Source organism: Homo sapiens, chromosome 14, assembly GCF_000001405.40.
Source record: "Homo sapiens chromosome 14, GRCh38.p14 Primary Assembly".
Taxonomy (NCBI): domain Eukaryota; kingdom Metazoa; phylum Chordata; class Mammalia; order Primates; family Hominidae; genus Homo; species Homo sapiens.
The window spans coordinates 41,527,267-41,544,537 of record NC_000014.9 but is presented as its reverse complement, the minus strand read 5'-3'; the positions used below and the strand labels follow the sequence as shown (position 1 = coordinate 41,544,537).

At 33.4% G+C, this 17,271-nt stretch overlaps 1 annotated feature.

Moving 5' to 3' along the window:
- Window positions 3,491–4,088: an enhancer, noted in NCBI's record as "OCT4-NANOG hESC enhancer chr14:42009653-42010250 (GRCh37/hg19 assembly coordinates)". NCBI's record gives its function as "activates a minimal SCP1, AML or CMV promoter by ChIP-STARR-seq in naive H9 embryonic stem cells {active_cell/tissue: H9 hESC(naive)}" and the evidence as "EXISTENCE:reporter gene assay evidence [ECO:0000049][PMID:30033119]".

Below are 17,271 nucleotides of genomic sequence, written 5' to 3'. Positions count from 1 at the left end.
AGATGATGCCAGCTGAAAAAATCTATCCCATTGTGAGTCAGAGGAAAAAATGGCAGTTCGAAAGACTGAAACCCAGGGTAGACATTGAAGTTTTCATTTTTTATTTTATTTTTCACAATGAACTAGAACTCAAGGTGGTAAAATTTTAATTACACCTAATAGCAATATCTATATCCTCATTTCAAGATCCTAGTGCCCTGGGTCAGCAAACCAGGAGCAGCAATTGTAATGAAACGCTGCTTCACCCTGGCTTATTTTTGAATAGGCGATGAAAACAAGGTTCAGAAGTGGGGGCAAAAGATGGGCAATTAGACAGCCAGAAAGCACTTCTCTAAACCTGAGAAACCAAAACACCAAGTGAACCATCACACTTTCAAGAGGTCTTTTGAGAAAAAACACTGAAAGTCAATGGAGAGGTAATGCAGACAAGAGGTGGATGTTTCAGGAAGCTAGGAAGCATGCAGAGTTGCCAAGTACCAGGACCAGCTTCCAGCCTGAAGAATTCCTAAAAAAGGGATAAGTGAAGAACCTGCAGGGCAGCAGACTCCTGCTGTGGACCTCTGGGAATCTACTCCAGGAGATTCCACAACCCTCATAGACATTTGAATTGGCAGGGGGAACCCCTCAGAAAGTAGGCAGAGACAAAGCTGGAGCCTGTGTGGTTATGTGTGAGGGGCAACTGCAGCAAAACGTTCCCATAGGCACCCATTCCCGAAGGCTTTGAGTGGTTCCAGTCCCTCTTGACTGCCAGTCCTCTTGACAGCAGGGCTGTTTTTCCTGTGGAACCAGGGTGCATCCAACCTATGTGCCCTTTGTCAACCGGTCCCTCCAAATGCCCCTGTCTGGCTGCTCCCCCAAGGGCATACGCACAGCACATCCTCTACTTTCCCAACTAGGAAAACTACTTTTCCAACAAAGTTTCCCAAAACTTTCTGTTTTGCCAGTGGCCTGGGAGCACTTCAGCTCCCCGGCACAGCTGGTGTTTGACCCTGAGGAGCCAGAGGACAAAATCGTGGGACCGGTCCCCATCCCCCAGGGTGTAAGGACTGGTACCAATCCCTCAGCTCTGGAATATGGAGCTGAGATCTGTGCCTGGAGCTCAGGTAGTGGGGAGCCCCCACTCTCTGAGCACTGGGAAGGGTGAGGCATGGGTTCGTGGGCCAGCTCAGGAGCTGGGTATTCTTCCCTCAGTAAGACTGGTCCAGGAAGGATGTAGCCTGTTTGCCATCCACAGCATTTGCCTAAGGGAGCCTTGTGGCCTGGAACTCCAAACAGCCCAGTGATGTGATCTAGGTGCAGAAGGCTTGAGACAAAACTAGCTGGTCAGGCCAGCTACTGGGACAGACATGGGAAGGAGACCCAATTGGGGCACTATGAGGTAGATGGTACCCGCAGCCCTCTACTGGGCAAAAATCTCTGGGCTATGGGCACCACAAAGCTGCACACCACCCACAGCAACACTCTCCTGCCTGGGAACCCTTTGCCTTTGGCCCACTACTTCAACAGAGTACCTCCAGACTTATCTCACAAACCCCTCCAACTCTGCCAAACACAGAAGATCAGCAGGGCCCTAGAAAATTACAGGTCATCTGGCAATCTAAACTTGGGTTCCAGCTACCCTTAAGGGAGGAAGGAGGGCAGCCCACTAGGGACCCCATAAATACTAAGGAAATGTGGGCATGGCCCCAGTGACTGGAGAGGGTTCCTCAAAGGCCAAGGAATGGACGTAGTAAGTGGGTCATCTCTTGCCCACCTCCTGTCTTCCCCACCCCAGAACACTGCTGTGAAAGTGCTGAAATACAAAAGAGGCATGTAGCTGAACCTATCTGCAGGCCTTTACTTTTAACCACCATCTACTGGATTTCAGCCTGAATTAAACCAGCAAACAAAAATTATTTCAGCACATATGGCTGGGTGAAACCCAGTGCAGGAAGATAGCTCCACACAAAGATTCTGCACAGAGCCTTGGTCCTCTGAAAGCACACCGAAATGAAGTTAATTGACTACACTCAACGCACATCACAGTCAAATCCTCAAAAGAAATAAAGACTATAAAAACAAAAAGCTTCACTTAAATGGCAGCAACTTCAAAAAGATAAAGAAACACTAGCCCTCTCAGATATGGAATAATTAGTACAAGAACTCTGAAAATTATAAAAGTCAGAGCATCTCCTCATATCTAAGTGAATGCATTAGCTTCCCAGCAATGGTTCCTAACTGGAATGAAATGACTGAAATGACAGACATAGAATTCAATACCTGGATGGCAAAGACACTCAATGAGATTCAGGAAAAAGCTGAAACCCAATCCAAGGAAGCCAATAAAGTAATCAAAAATTTGAAAGGCTATTTTTACAAAGAACCAAACTTAATTGCTGGAATTGAAAAAAACTCAAAACAGGAATTTCATGATACAGGGGGAAGGAGTAAGAGCAGAATATACCAAGCTCAAGAAAGAATGTCAGAACTCAAAGACCAGTCCTTCAAATCAACACAGTCAGACAAAAATAAAGAGAGAAGAATTTAAAAGAACGAGCATAACCTCCAGGAAATATGGGGTTAGGTAAATAGACCAAACATATGACACATTGGAATTCCTGGGAAAGGAGAGAGGGTGAGAAACTAAGGAATATAGTCCATAAAAATTTCTCCAGTCTCACTAGAAAGGTCGACATACAAATTCAAACAACTCCTGAAAGATACTATACAAGATAACCATCCCTAAGAGATACAGGCAAAAGATTCTCCAAGGTAAACATGAAAGAAATAATCTTATGATCAACTAGATAAAAGGGTCAGGTCACTTACAAAAGGAGCTTCATCAGGCTAACACAGGACTTATCAGCAGAAATCTTACAAACCAAAAAACACTGGGCACCTATTTTCAAAATCCTAAAAGAAAGAAATTCAAACCAAGAATTTCGTATCCTGCCAAACTAAGCTTCATAAGCAAAGAAAAAATAAAATACTTCCCAGACAAGTAAATGCTAATGGAATTTGTTACCACTTGACAAGCCTTACAAGCAGTCTTCAAGGCAGTTTTAAAAATGGAAACACAAAAACAATACCTGCTTGTTGCGGGAAGTCAGGGACCCCAAAGGGAGGGACCGGCTGAAGCCATGACAGAAGAATGTGGATTATGAGGATTTTATGGACATTTATTAGTTCCCCAAATTAATACTTTTGTAATTTCTCATGCCTGTCTTTACTGCAATCTCTAAACATAAATTGTAAAGATTTCATGGACACTTATCACTTCCCCAATCAATACCCTTGTGATTTCCTATGCCTGTCTTTACTTTAATCTCTTAATCCTGTCAGTTGAGGAGGATGTATATCATCTCAGGACCCTGTAATAATTGCGTTAAGTACACAAATTGTACAGCATGTGTGTTTGAGCAATATGAAATGTGGGCACCCTGAAAAAAGGACAGGATAACAGCAATTGTTCAGGGAATAAGAGAGAGAACCTTAAACTCTGACCGCAGGTGAGCCGGGCAGAACAGAGCCATATTTTTCTTCTTTCAAAAGCAAATGGGAGAAATATTGCTGAATTCTTTTTCTCAGCATGGAACGTCCCTGAGAAAGAGAATGCGCACCTAGGGGTAGGTCTCTGAACTGGCCCCCCCCGGGGCGTACCTGTCTCTTATGGTCGAGATTGCAGAGGTGAAATAAACTCCAGTCTCCCATAGCGCTCCCAGGCTTATTAGGAAGAGGAAATTCCCGCCTAATAAACTTTGGTCAGACCGGTTGATCTCAAAACCCTGTCTCCTGATAAGATGTTATCAATGACAATGGTGCCAAAACTTCATTAGCAATTTTAATTTCACTTCGGTCCTGTGGTCCTGTGATCTCGCCCTGTCTCCACTTGCCTTGTGATATTCTATTACCCTGTTAAGTACTTGATGTCTGTCACCCACACCTATTCGTATACTCCCTCCCCTTTTGAAACTCCCTAATAAAACTTGCTGGTTTTTGTGGCTTGTGGAGCATCACGGATCCTACCAATGTGTGATGTCTCCCCCGGACGCCCAGCTTTAAAATTTCTTTCTTTTGTACTCTGTCCCTTTATTTCTCAAGCCAGCCGACGCTTAGGAAAATAGAAAAGAACCTACGTGATTATCGGGGCAGGTCCCCCAATACCTGCTGCCACAAAACACACCTACCTAACCACACAGCCCACAGACCCTATAAAGCAACTACAAAATCAAGGCTACAAACTACCAGCTAACTACGTGATGACAGGATCCAAACCTCATATAATCTGGAAGTTAAACGGTCTAAATGCCCCCACTTTTTTTGTTTTGAGTCTCACTCTGTTACCCAGGCTGGAGTGCAGTGGCACAATCTTGGCTTGCTGCAAGCCCCGCCTCCTGAGTTCATGCCATTCTCCTGCCTCAGCCTCCTGAGTAGGTGGGACTACAGGCGCCTGCCACCATGCCCGGCTAGTTTTTTTTGTATTTTTAATAGAGACGGGGTTTCACCATGTTAGCCAGGATGGTCTCGATCTCCTGACCTCGTGATCTGCCCCCCTCGGCCTCCCAAAGTGCTAGGATTACAGGTGTGAGCCACCACGCCCAGGTAAATACCCCCACTTAAAGGGCAAAGAGGGGCAAGTTGTGTATAAATATATAAAGTTTATATATATATATATATAAACATAAACTTTATATATATATAAACTTTATATATAAATACATATATAAACTTCATATATATACAAATATATATACAAAGTATATATATAAATATATATACGAAGTTTATATATAAATATATATAATTTTATATATAAACTTTATATATATAAAAAAGCTTTATATATAAATATATAAAATATATAAATATATAAAAATATATAAATATATAAATGTATATATAAATATATATATAAATATATATAAATGTATATATAAATATATAAAAATATATAAATACATATAAATATATAAATATATAAAAATACATATAATTACATAAATATATATACATATATTAAAAAATATAAATATATGTACATATATAAATATATAAATATATATGTACATATATAAATATATATAAATATATATGTACATATATAAATATATATGTACATATATAAATATATATAAATATATATATAAAGTTTGTGTGTGTATATATACATATATATATACATATATATATATGTGTGTGTATATATATATATATATATATAAACTTCTGGCTTCTGTCTTTAAGAGATCCATCTTACACATAAAAATACCCACAGGCTCAAAGTTAAAGAATGAAGAGAGATCTATTATGCAAACAGAAAACAACAAATAAGTGACAACTGTCACTTATTCTTGTACCAAATGAAGCAGACTTTAAGCCAATAACAGTAAAACTGGAAAGGAAGGGCATTACATAATGATACGCTGTTCAATTCGACAAGAAGGCATACCTATTCTAAATCTTTATACACCCATACAGCCAGATTAATAAAAAAGTACTTCTAAACCTATGAAAGGACTTAGCCATACAATAATAGTGGGGGCCATCAACATCACACTGACAGTGTTAGATCATCAAGGCAAAAAACCAGCAAAGAAATTCTGGACTTCAACCCATGCTTGACCAATTTGACCTAGTATACATATACTGAATACTCCACCAAACATCCAAAACCACAGAAACCACAGAATATACAAATATATATTCTTATTTGCACACAGAACATACTGTAAGACCAATCACATTCTCAACCATAAAGCAATTCTCAATACAATTTAAAAAATAAAAATCAGACCAACCATACTCTTAGAACATATTGCAATAAAATTAGAATTCAGTGCCAGCAAGACCTCCCCAAAACACACAATAACATGGAAATGAAACAACTTACTCCTTAATGACTTTTGGGTAAACATAAAATGAAGTCATGCTTACAAAATTATGTGAAATTAATGAAAACAGAAATAAAGCATACCAAAATCTGTTATTCAGCAAAAGCAGTGTTAAGAGTAAAGTTTATTGTGCTAAGTGCCTATGTCGAAAAGTTAGAAAGCTCTTAAATTAATGCTCTAACATTACACTTAGAGGAACTAGAAAAACAATAACAAACTTATCTCAAAGCTATCAGAAAAAAATAACTAATTAAATCAGAGCAGAACTGAACAAAATTGAGAACCAAAATCCATACGAAAAATCAAAACAAAAAGTTGGTTTTTTGAAGGAATATGCAAGATTCTTAGGTCACTAGCTGGATTAACAAAGAAAAACAAGAGAAGATCCAAATAAACACCATCTAAAATGAAAAAGTTGGCATTACAATTGAACGCACAGAAATACAATAGTATTTGTATTTCAAATCCCCAAAGACTGTTGTGAACACTTCTATGCAAAGCAACTGGAAAATCCAGAGATGGTGGATAAATTAAATTCCTGGAAAAACACAACCTTCCAAGACTAAACCAGGAAGAAATTAAAACATTAAATAGATCAATAATGAGTTCCAAAATCGAATCAGTAATTTAAAAAACATATCAAACAATGACAACAACGACAACAAAAGCCCTGGACCAGATAGATTCAGTGCCAAATTTTACCACATGTACAAAAAGGTGGTATCAGCCCTGCTGGAACTATCCCAAAAAGTCATGGAAGAGGGTGTCCTTGCTAGTTCATTTAAGGAAACCAAAATCCTCCTAATACCAAAATCTGTCAGAGACACAAAAAGAAAGCTACTGACCAAAATCCCTGATGAACATAGATGCAAAAATTGTCAACAAAATACTAGCAAAATGAATCTAGTAGCACATCAAAAAGTTAATTCACCATGAGCAAGTAGGCTTTATTCCTAGATTATAAGATTGGTTCAACATATGCAAATCAACAAATGTGATTCACACATAAACAAAATAAAAAATAAAAACCATATAATCATCTCATTAGATCTGGAAAATGCTTTTGATTAAATCCAAGATTGCTTAATTTTATAAAACCCTCAAGAAACTAGGTATCAAAAGAACAGACCTCAAAAGAATAAGAGCCATCTATGCCAAACCAAGAGCCAGCAACATACTGAATGGGAAAAAGCTGAATGCATTCCCTTTGAGAAATGTAACAGGACAAGGATACTAACTCTCACCAGTCCTTTTCAATATAGTACTGAAAATTCTAGACAGAGCAGTCAGGAAAGAGAGAGAAATAAAAGACATCCTAATAGGAAAAGAAGTCAAACTATTTATTGTTGCTGGTAATGCTATTTGATACCTAGAAAGCCCTAAAGAATCCACGAAAAGGCTTCTGGAACAGATAAAATGTTTCAATGAAGTTTCAGGATACAAAATCAATTTTAAAAATTAGTAATATATCTATACATTTATAATGTTCACGCTGAGAGTCAAATCAAGAATACAATTACTTTTACAATAGCCAAAAAAAAAAAAAAAAAATCTAAGCACATATGTAACCAAGGAGGTAAAATATCTCTGTTAAGTATAATTACACAACACTGCTGAAATAAATCAGAGATAATACAAAAAATGAAAAAAAAATCTATGCTCATGGATTGGAAGAATCGATACTGCGAAAACTGCCATACTGCCCAAAGCAATTCCCAGATTCAGTGCTATTTGTATCAAACTACCACTGTCATTTTTCATAGAACTAGAAATTATTATAAAATTCATATGGAAACAATAAAAACTATATGATAAGGATACAGTAACTCAAACAGCATTATACGGATACAAAAACAGACCTATAGAACAATGTAAAATTCATGAACTATTGTTCATGAACTAAGCTGCACACCTATAGCCATCTGATCTTTGACAAAGTGGCCACAAAAAATAGAGAAAAAACTCCTTATTAATAAAGGCTGCTGAGATAGGTCACCATGAAGCAGAAGAATGAAACTGGACCCCTTCCTTTTGCCATATATAAAAATTAACTCAAGATGAATTAAGGATTTAAATGTAAGACCTCAAACTATAATAATCCTAGAGTAGACCTAGGAAACATCATTCTGGACATGGCAAATTATTTATGACTATGTTATGAATAGCAATATAACAAAAACAAAAATTCACAAGTGGAACCTAATTAAACTAAACAACTTCTCCACAGCAAAAGAAACTACCAACAGTGTAAATTATCTACAAAATGGGAGAAAATATTTATGCACAAAGCATTCAACAGAAGTCTGGTATCCAGACGCTATGAGAAACTTAAATAATTGAAAAAGCAAAAAACAAGTAACCCTGTTATAAAATGGACAAAATACATGAACAGACACTTCTCAAAATAAGACATACAGATGGCCTACAAACAGCTGAAGCAATGCTCCACATCACTCAGCATCAGATACATGCAAATCAAAAACAAAAAAGATACCATCTCACACCAGTCAGAAGGGTATTATAAAAAATGTCAAAAAACAACAGATGCTGGTGGGGCTGCAGAGGAGAGAGAACATTTATACACTATTGGTGGGAATGCAAATAAGTCCAGCCACTGTAGAAAGCAGTTTGGAGTTTTCTCAAATAACTTAGAACTACAATTCAACACAGTAAGCCCAATACCAGATGTATATCCTAAAGAAAATACTTCATCCTATCAAAAAGATGTAGGCACTTGCATGTTCATTGCAGCACTATTCACGATAGCAAAGACATGGAATCAATCTTGGTGCCCATCAATGGTGGATTGGATAACAAAAATGTGGTGTATATATATATATCATGGAATACTGCACAGCCATAAAAAAAATAGTCTTTGCAGCAACATGGGTGCAGCTGGAATCCATTATCCTAAATAAAATAAAGCAGGAAGAGAAAACCAAGTACCACATGTTATCACATGTAAGTGGGAGTTAAGCATTGTGTACTTGTGAACATAAAGATGGCAACAATAAAAACTGGGGGCTGCTAGAGTAGAGAGGAAGGGAGTGGAGTAAGAGTTGAAAAGTAACTAGCGTGTATGATGCTGAGTTCCTGAGTAATGAGATCATTTGTATCCAAATGCCAGTACCATGCAATATAGACAAATAACAAACCTGCACATGTTCCCTCTTAATCTAAAATAAAAGTTAAAAACATTACAAATTACCTAAGAGAAATTACAGTGGACTTGTCAACAGAAATCATGCAATCAAGAAGAGCATGGAATGAAATATTTAAAGTGTTTAAAGGACAAAACTCAACAACCTAGAATCATATATCCAGTAATATTGTCCTTTATAAATGGAGAAACAAAGGTTTTCTAAGACAAAAAACAAAACAAAACAAAACAAAAAACCCTGCAGGATATGTCACCAAAAAAAAATTAGAGAAAATGTTTTTAGGGAGAAAGAAATGATAACATTCAGAAACATGGTTTTACATAAAGGAAGAAAGAATGTCTGATAAGGAATATATAAAATGAGTAAAATCTTTTATTTTTCTCATTCTTAATTTATCTTATGGACCTCTGGATTCAAAATAGTAATAGTAATAATCTATTGTGTGATGACAGTGTATTGATAAAGGAAATAAATCAAATCAGTATTAATAAAAACTGGGGAAAACAATTAGGAATATTCTGTTACAAGTTAACGGCACTACACCTGAAGTTCTATAGTATTATTTGAAGGTAGCCTTAAGTTATCTAAAAAGACATATTGGAAACTTTAGTGCAACAACTAAAACGTTCTTTTAAAATATAATTGATACAATAAAATATGAGATAAATGGAAACATATAAAACATTCAATTAAAACCAGAAAAGACAAAAAAAGAACAAAAACAAGAAATGTAATGACTATTAAAATGTTATAAATATGGTAGATATGAATGTGACTATCACTTAAAATGTGACTAATTTAAATGTAACTATTAAACAACTGAGGTTGTCAGATTATATAATAAAACAATAATCAACTGTATGCTCTATGTAAGAAATCCAGTTAAAATATAAAGACTCAGGTTAAAAGTAAAGGGATAGAAAAAGATATACTACAGCTAAACAAAATGTTACCAGGATCCAGGTGTCACAAATTCCTAGGACTAGTTATTATTTTATCTGATTAATTGATCTAGTTTTAATTACATACATAGGTAATGTACAAAAATCAAGTGTTTTAATTTTCACAAGACAGTAAAAAAATTCCAAAAAATTACATATATTATGTATAATACACTCCTTTCTACTAGAAAATATCTGCAATACTACTATATGAGATAGCAAAAACATTATATTCTAATAATAGTAACAATAATAATTGTCTAGATCTTTGTTTTCAGAAAATTATTATTTTAAAATTAATAGTTTAATAAAATTGAATCTTATTTTGGTTCACAGTTATGAGTCACTTTTACCATAGAGAAATAATACCTAGTATATTTATTGCAATAGACAAAATTTCTAAACTAAACTTTTATTTTAATCTTGTACACACGTTCTACAAAATAAAATGAATTATCTTCATTTTTATTTCTACTTCTACTTTTTCTTATATCAGTTATATATTGCTAGAGTAAATACATGTGGTAATATAATATCAGAACCTTGTTATATCTCATCTCTGAGTTCTATTTTTACTATAATAGTAAACTATTTTTACTATCTGTACTGTATTAAAGATGCTCAAAAAACTAAAAGATGAGAAACTCAAGAAAATTATACATTAACAAAATGTTAACATCAATAAAGATAAAATATATAAAGAAAACAGAAAGAAATTCTAAACTGAAAAGTACAATAAATGAAATAAAAATTTTACTTGAGTAATTCAAAGGCATATGTAAACAGGCAAAAGAAGAATCAGTAAACTTGAAGATAGAACAATAAAAATTGCCAGTCTAAGGAACAAAAACAAACATAAAAACATTGAGGAAAAGTGAACATAGCAAAAGGTGTTTGTGGGACAACATCTTGCAGACCAACATTTGCATTATGGGAGTTCCAAGAGGGGAAGAGAAAGAGAAAAGGGCAGAGAAAGTATTTGAATAAATAATGACCCCAACTCCCCAAACTCAATGAAAGACATGAATATAAACATCCAAATATGACAATGAACTTCAAGAAGAATAATTAGAAAAAGATCCACACTAGAGAAATTACACTCAAACTGTCAAACCCCACAGAGTTAATTTTGAAAGGAGCAAGAGATAAGTGAATCATTACATATACCAGAACCTCACTAAAATTATCTGCAAAATTCTCTTCAGAAATTTTGGAGACCACAAGGCAGTGGGATGATTTATTTTGGATATTAAAAGAAAAAAATGTCAACTAAGAATCCAATATCTGGCAATATTGTTCTTCAAAAGTGAGAAAAAAATTAAGACATGACCAGATAAACAAAAGCTGAGATATCTCCTTATTATTACACATATTCTGCAAAAAATGCTAATGATAGTCATGCAGGTTGAGATGAAAGAACACTTTAGCATAACTAGAAGCAATCAGGAGAAGTAAAGATCTTAGCCAAATAAATATATGAATAATTATAAAAGCTAGTATTATTGTAACAAGGGTGTGTAACTCCAGTTTTTGTTTTCTGCATGATTTAAGCAATTAATACATTTTTCAAAACCCAGACACTTATTAGTTTCAAAGATAGTATTATTGTAACTTTAGGTGGTAGCTTTACATTTGTATTTTACATAACTTAGAAGTTTAATACATTTTAAAATTATTAGCTTATGTTTTTGGACACAATTTATAAAGGTATAATTTTGTGACATCAACAATTGACATGGGCTGAAACAGAGTTATCAAAGGAATAGAGTTTTGGTATGTTATCAAAGTTAGGCTTGTAATTATTCAAATTAGAGCATTATACCTTTCAGCTGTTAAATACCCATGAAAACCACAAAGAAAATATCTTAAAAATAGGTACAAAATGAAATAAGAAAGGAATTTAAATGCTTAACTACAAAAAAAAATCAGATAAGCACACAAATAAATAAAACGATAATGCAGGAAATGAGGAAAATAACAGCATATGGAAAACAAATACCAAAAGGACATAAGTAAGTTATTAACAATTACTTAAAATGTAAATGGCTTAAACATTTCAATCAAAAGCCTGAGATTAATAGAGGGTGTAAAAACACGTGGCCCAACTATATGCTGTCTATAAGAGAGTCACTTTAGATTCAAAGACACATGTAGGTTGAAAGTATAAGGATGGAAAAGGATATTCCATAGAAAAAATAGTAAGCAAATGAGAGGAGGAGCACCTATATTAATATTAGACAAAATAAACTTTAAATAAATAAATTTTACACAAAAGACAACTAAAGACATCTATATTAATAAAAGTTTTAATGCAGCAAGAAGACATAACAATTACAGACAATTACATTTATAGTAATAGATCATAGAAATATAAAGTAAACATTGATGAAATTGAAGATAGAAATAAAAGTTCTACAATAATAGTTGGAGACTTCAATACTCCACTCTCAATAATAGAACAGCCAGACAGAAGATAAGTAAGAAAATAGAGTACTTGTACAACACAACAGATTTAACAGATCTATAAGAACACTCTATCCAATAAAAATAGAATATACATTTTTCCCAAGTGTACAGCTGACATTTCCCAGGATAGATCATATGTTATTCCACAAATCACATCTCAGTATATTTAAAATAATACATATCTTGCATAGTATCTTCTCCAAACAAACTGGGATGGGTTTAGAAATCAACAGTAGGAAAAAACTGAAAGATTCATAATTTTTAAAACATTAAATAATATACTCTTAAACAAGTGAATCAAAGAAGAAATCATGAGGTAACTATGAAATACTTAGAAACAAAAGAAAATGAAAACATAACATGCCAAAGCATAACATACAAAAATTGTGGGACACAGCAAAAATAGTGTTAAATCAATATTTATAACTTTAAGTGCTTACATTAAAAAGCAAAAATGATCTCAAATGAACAATCTAACTTTAAATGTAAGACACTAGAAAATAAATGAAACTAAACCCAAAGCTATCAGAAGGAAAATAATAGTAGGTATCAGAACAGAGATTTTTAAAAAAATATAGAATATAAAATAATAGAGAAAACCAATGACACTGAAAGTTGGTGCTTTGTGAAAACCAACAAAATTGATGTCTTAATAGACATATAATTGGTATGATGATTAAATCAGCAATCAAAAATTTATTGGCAATGAAAAGCCCTGGACCTGTTTGTTTCACCAGTGAGTTCTACAAAATAAAGAATGAATACCAATGCTCCTCAAACTTTCCTAATAATTTTGTAAGGAAATAACGTACTCCAACTCATTCTATTAGTCTAGCATTACCCTGACACCAAAGACAGACACACACAGTTAAAGAGAAGAAAGCTATAGAACAATTTATGTTATAAATACTGATGTAAGGATCTTCATCAAAATACTCAAAAACCAAATTCAGCAACATATTAAAAGAATTATAAACCATGACCAAGTGGAATTTGTTCCTGGAATTCAAGTATAGTTCAACACATAAAAGTCATCAATATAATATATGACTTAACAGAATGAAGGAAAAAAGAACATATGATCATCTTGATAGATGCAGAAAAACAATTTCTCGGAATTCAACCCACTTTCAAAAAAAAAAAAAACTCAACAATCTAGGAATAGAAAGTAATTACCTTTACATAGTGAAATATATATATATTAAAAAAACAGTGAACCTCATCCTTAATGGTGAAAGATTGAAAGCTTTTCTTTTAGACTAAAGAACAAGGCTAGGATGCTTACTTTCTCCATTTCTATTCAACTTAGTACTAGAAATTGGAGTCAGATAAAATAAGGCAGAAAAAATCCAAATTGTAAGGCAAAACAAAATTATTTATTTTCATAGATAACAAGTTACATATGTAGAAAAAAATCTAGATTCCCCTCAAATCAGAACTAATAAAGGATTTTAACAAAGTAGCAGGATAGAGTTGACACAGAAACATCTGTTATGTTTCCATATACTAACAATAAATAATCTGAAAAGAAAATTTAGAAAATGATTCCATTTACAATTGCATCAAGAAGAATAAAATACTTAGAAATTAATTTGACCAAGGAAGTAAAATACTGTATAATTAAAACTTCAAAATATTGCTGAAAATATTAAAGAAGGCATAAACAAATTAAAAGATATCCATGTTCATGGATTGGAAGCCTCAGTATTGTTAAGATGTCAGTATTATCAAAAGCTATCTACAGATTTAATGCAGTCCCAATCAAAAATCACAATGACATGTTTTTTAGAATTAGACAAGCCCATACTAAAATATATATGGAATCTCAAGGGATCCCAAATAGCTAAAACAATCCTGAAAAGGAATAACAAAGCTAGAGGATTCACACTACCAAGCTGATTTCAAAACTCACTATAAAGCAATAGTAATGAAAACAGTGTGGTACTAGCATAAAAAGAGACATACAGACCTATGAAATAGAGTCTAGAAATAAACCTTAAAATATATGTCTAAATGATTTTCCACAAGGGTGCCAAGACCATTTGAAGAGGAAGAGTCAATCTTTACAAAAAATGCTGCTGGGAAAACATATAGTATGTTCGCATAAAAAAGAATAAAGTTGGACCTTACGTAACACCATATATAAAAATGAACTCAATGATCTATGATCTAAATGTAAAACCTGTAACTAAAAATCTCTTAGAATAAAATATAGGACAGAAAATTCAAAACATTTAGTCTTGCAATTATTTTTTGAATATGACACCAAAGGCACAGAAAACAAAATAAAAAGTAGATAAATTGACCTAAGGAATTTTTTTTTAAAATATGCATCAAAACACACTGCCAACACAGTGAAAAGGCAACCCACAGAATGGGAGAAAATGCTTGGAAATTATATATCTGACAGCGTATTATTATACAGAATATACAGAGAACTCTTGAAACTAAACAACAACAAAAAGCAACCCAATTAATATTGTTCAACAAATTGTGCAATGTTCAAAGTCACTAAAAATTAGGGAACTACATATCAAAACTACAATTAGATACCACATCACACTCATTAGAATGGTTACTATAAAAAATGGAAAATATATTGGCAAGCATGTGGGGAAATTAGAACACTTGGACATTGTTGGTGAGAATGTAAAGTGATACAGATGTTTGTGGAAAATAGTATGGTGTTTCCTGAAAACAATAAAAATAGCATATGATACAGCAATTTCACTTCTAGATATTTGCTTGAAAGAATTGAAAAGAGGGTCATAAAGAGATATTAGAACATCCATATTCATAGCAGCCTTATTTACAAAGCAAAACATGGAAGCTACTCTAGTGCCCGTGAATGAATAAATGGATAAGCAAAATGTGATATATGTATTCATTGAAAATTATTCAGCTTTACAAAGGAAGGAAATTATAATATATGTCATAACATAGTTGAATCTTGAGGAAATTATAAGTAAAATATCAATCACAAAACATAAAACATTATATCATTCCACTTACATGAAGTACTTAGAGTAGTTGAAATTATAGAGACAGAAAGTAGAAAGCTTGTTTTCAGGGTCTGAGGGGAGGGGGAAAGAGGTGGTTATTGGTTAATTGCTATAGAATTTCAATTTTTTCAAGAATAAATGAGTTCTGGAAATGGCTGGGAGGAATGGTTGCAAAACAATATGAATGTATTAATACTTACAAATTGTATACCTAGAAGTAGTCAAGACAGTACAATTTTTTGTTATATGTATTTTGCTACAATAAAATATTAGAAATATATATTGCATAGTATGTACATAATAAAAATAATGAATGTTTAATGTATTATATAAAATGTGTATATATTAAGGTAGGTAACAACATATCACATATATATAATATATAAAATTATGTCTATACATTATGAATATCAATATATTCATAGTTTTATACATTTTAATTGCTGAAAAATACCATTGATAGAGGATTTTTTTTCTCCTTTATTAAACTTGCTTCCTGGAAACTGGAGAAATAAACCTCTCTTTCATCTTCCATTGTTCAATTTAGTTTATATTTAGTTGTATGACAAATCTGACACATCATTCATCAACATTTTACCCTTAGTAAGTGGCTAAATATTAGTCAACTGTGATGGCATTACATCAAAATACCAAATATTTTGGTTTAGGCTTTCTCTTAATTTGTAAAAAGTAAAATGCTTTGTCAAAAAACAAATAATGCTATTTTTAACAATAAAATTCTATGCAATAGTTTGACAGATAATTTTATATTTTTTATATCAAGGAAAGAATTATCAGCTAAACAACTTTATCAGTTTTAAAAGAGGCAAAATTTTGTTAGCAGGAATATTCTTGTTCCTGCTTTCTAAGTACAGTATGTCTTATGTTTTACCGCATGGAAACTTTCCTAGCTGGCGTCTGTCAATCAATGAAAGGCTTTACAATAGGCACCAAGGTACAGCTAAAAAAATAATGAATTTCAAACCTTGGGTGCATAGAATAGCAGAAAGAGGACCTTTTATAAAACAGTGGTTTTATGAAATCAGAGGTGGTTTCTCAGGGAAAGCCATTTGTGGTAACTCCCAGACAGGGAAGCTGTCCACCTGAAAGTTTAAAGCATCCTGTATAATCCCTGTTGCCCTATTGATTTCTATCTTAGAGCAGTTGTTCAAAAATGGAAGGATAAGCAAAGAGTAGAAAATCATCAATATCAGAGCAGAAACAGAGGCGAAGAGAAAAACAGACAAAAGTCCTGGGAAAGATTGACAAAGACACTTCATTTTCCAGTTGTTGGTTTACCCGTCTGATTCTACCTAGACATTTATCTCACTTGCAAAAAATTTAATTTTCTATTTCTTGGATCATTTGGAAATGTGAAAGATCTACTTCTTCTTAAAACTCTCCTTGGTGGTCTAGAATGTTCAAGATGTGTTTTTACATTTTTTTTATCTTTTCATATTTTTTTCCATACTCTTTTCAGTTTTGCGGACTTCTACAATCTGTTACCTGTGTAAAGAAATCATTAGTCACATTTGTGCAAGCTAATCTTTGGCTAATCCTATTACGAAGGGAGGGGCAATTTCAAGAAATGCAAGTATGTTCTAATAAATGTAGTTTCCTAACAATGACACCTGCAATAATTTTATCATACAACTTCAAACTGTGGAATCTAAAGAATACGGACAATATACTTTTTTTTTTTAATTTTACTTTAAGTTCCAGGATACATGCATGGAATATGCAGGTTTGTTACATAGGTATACATGTGCCATGGTGGTTTGCTGCACCTATCAACCTGTCATCTAGGTTTTAAGCCCTACATGCATTAGGT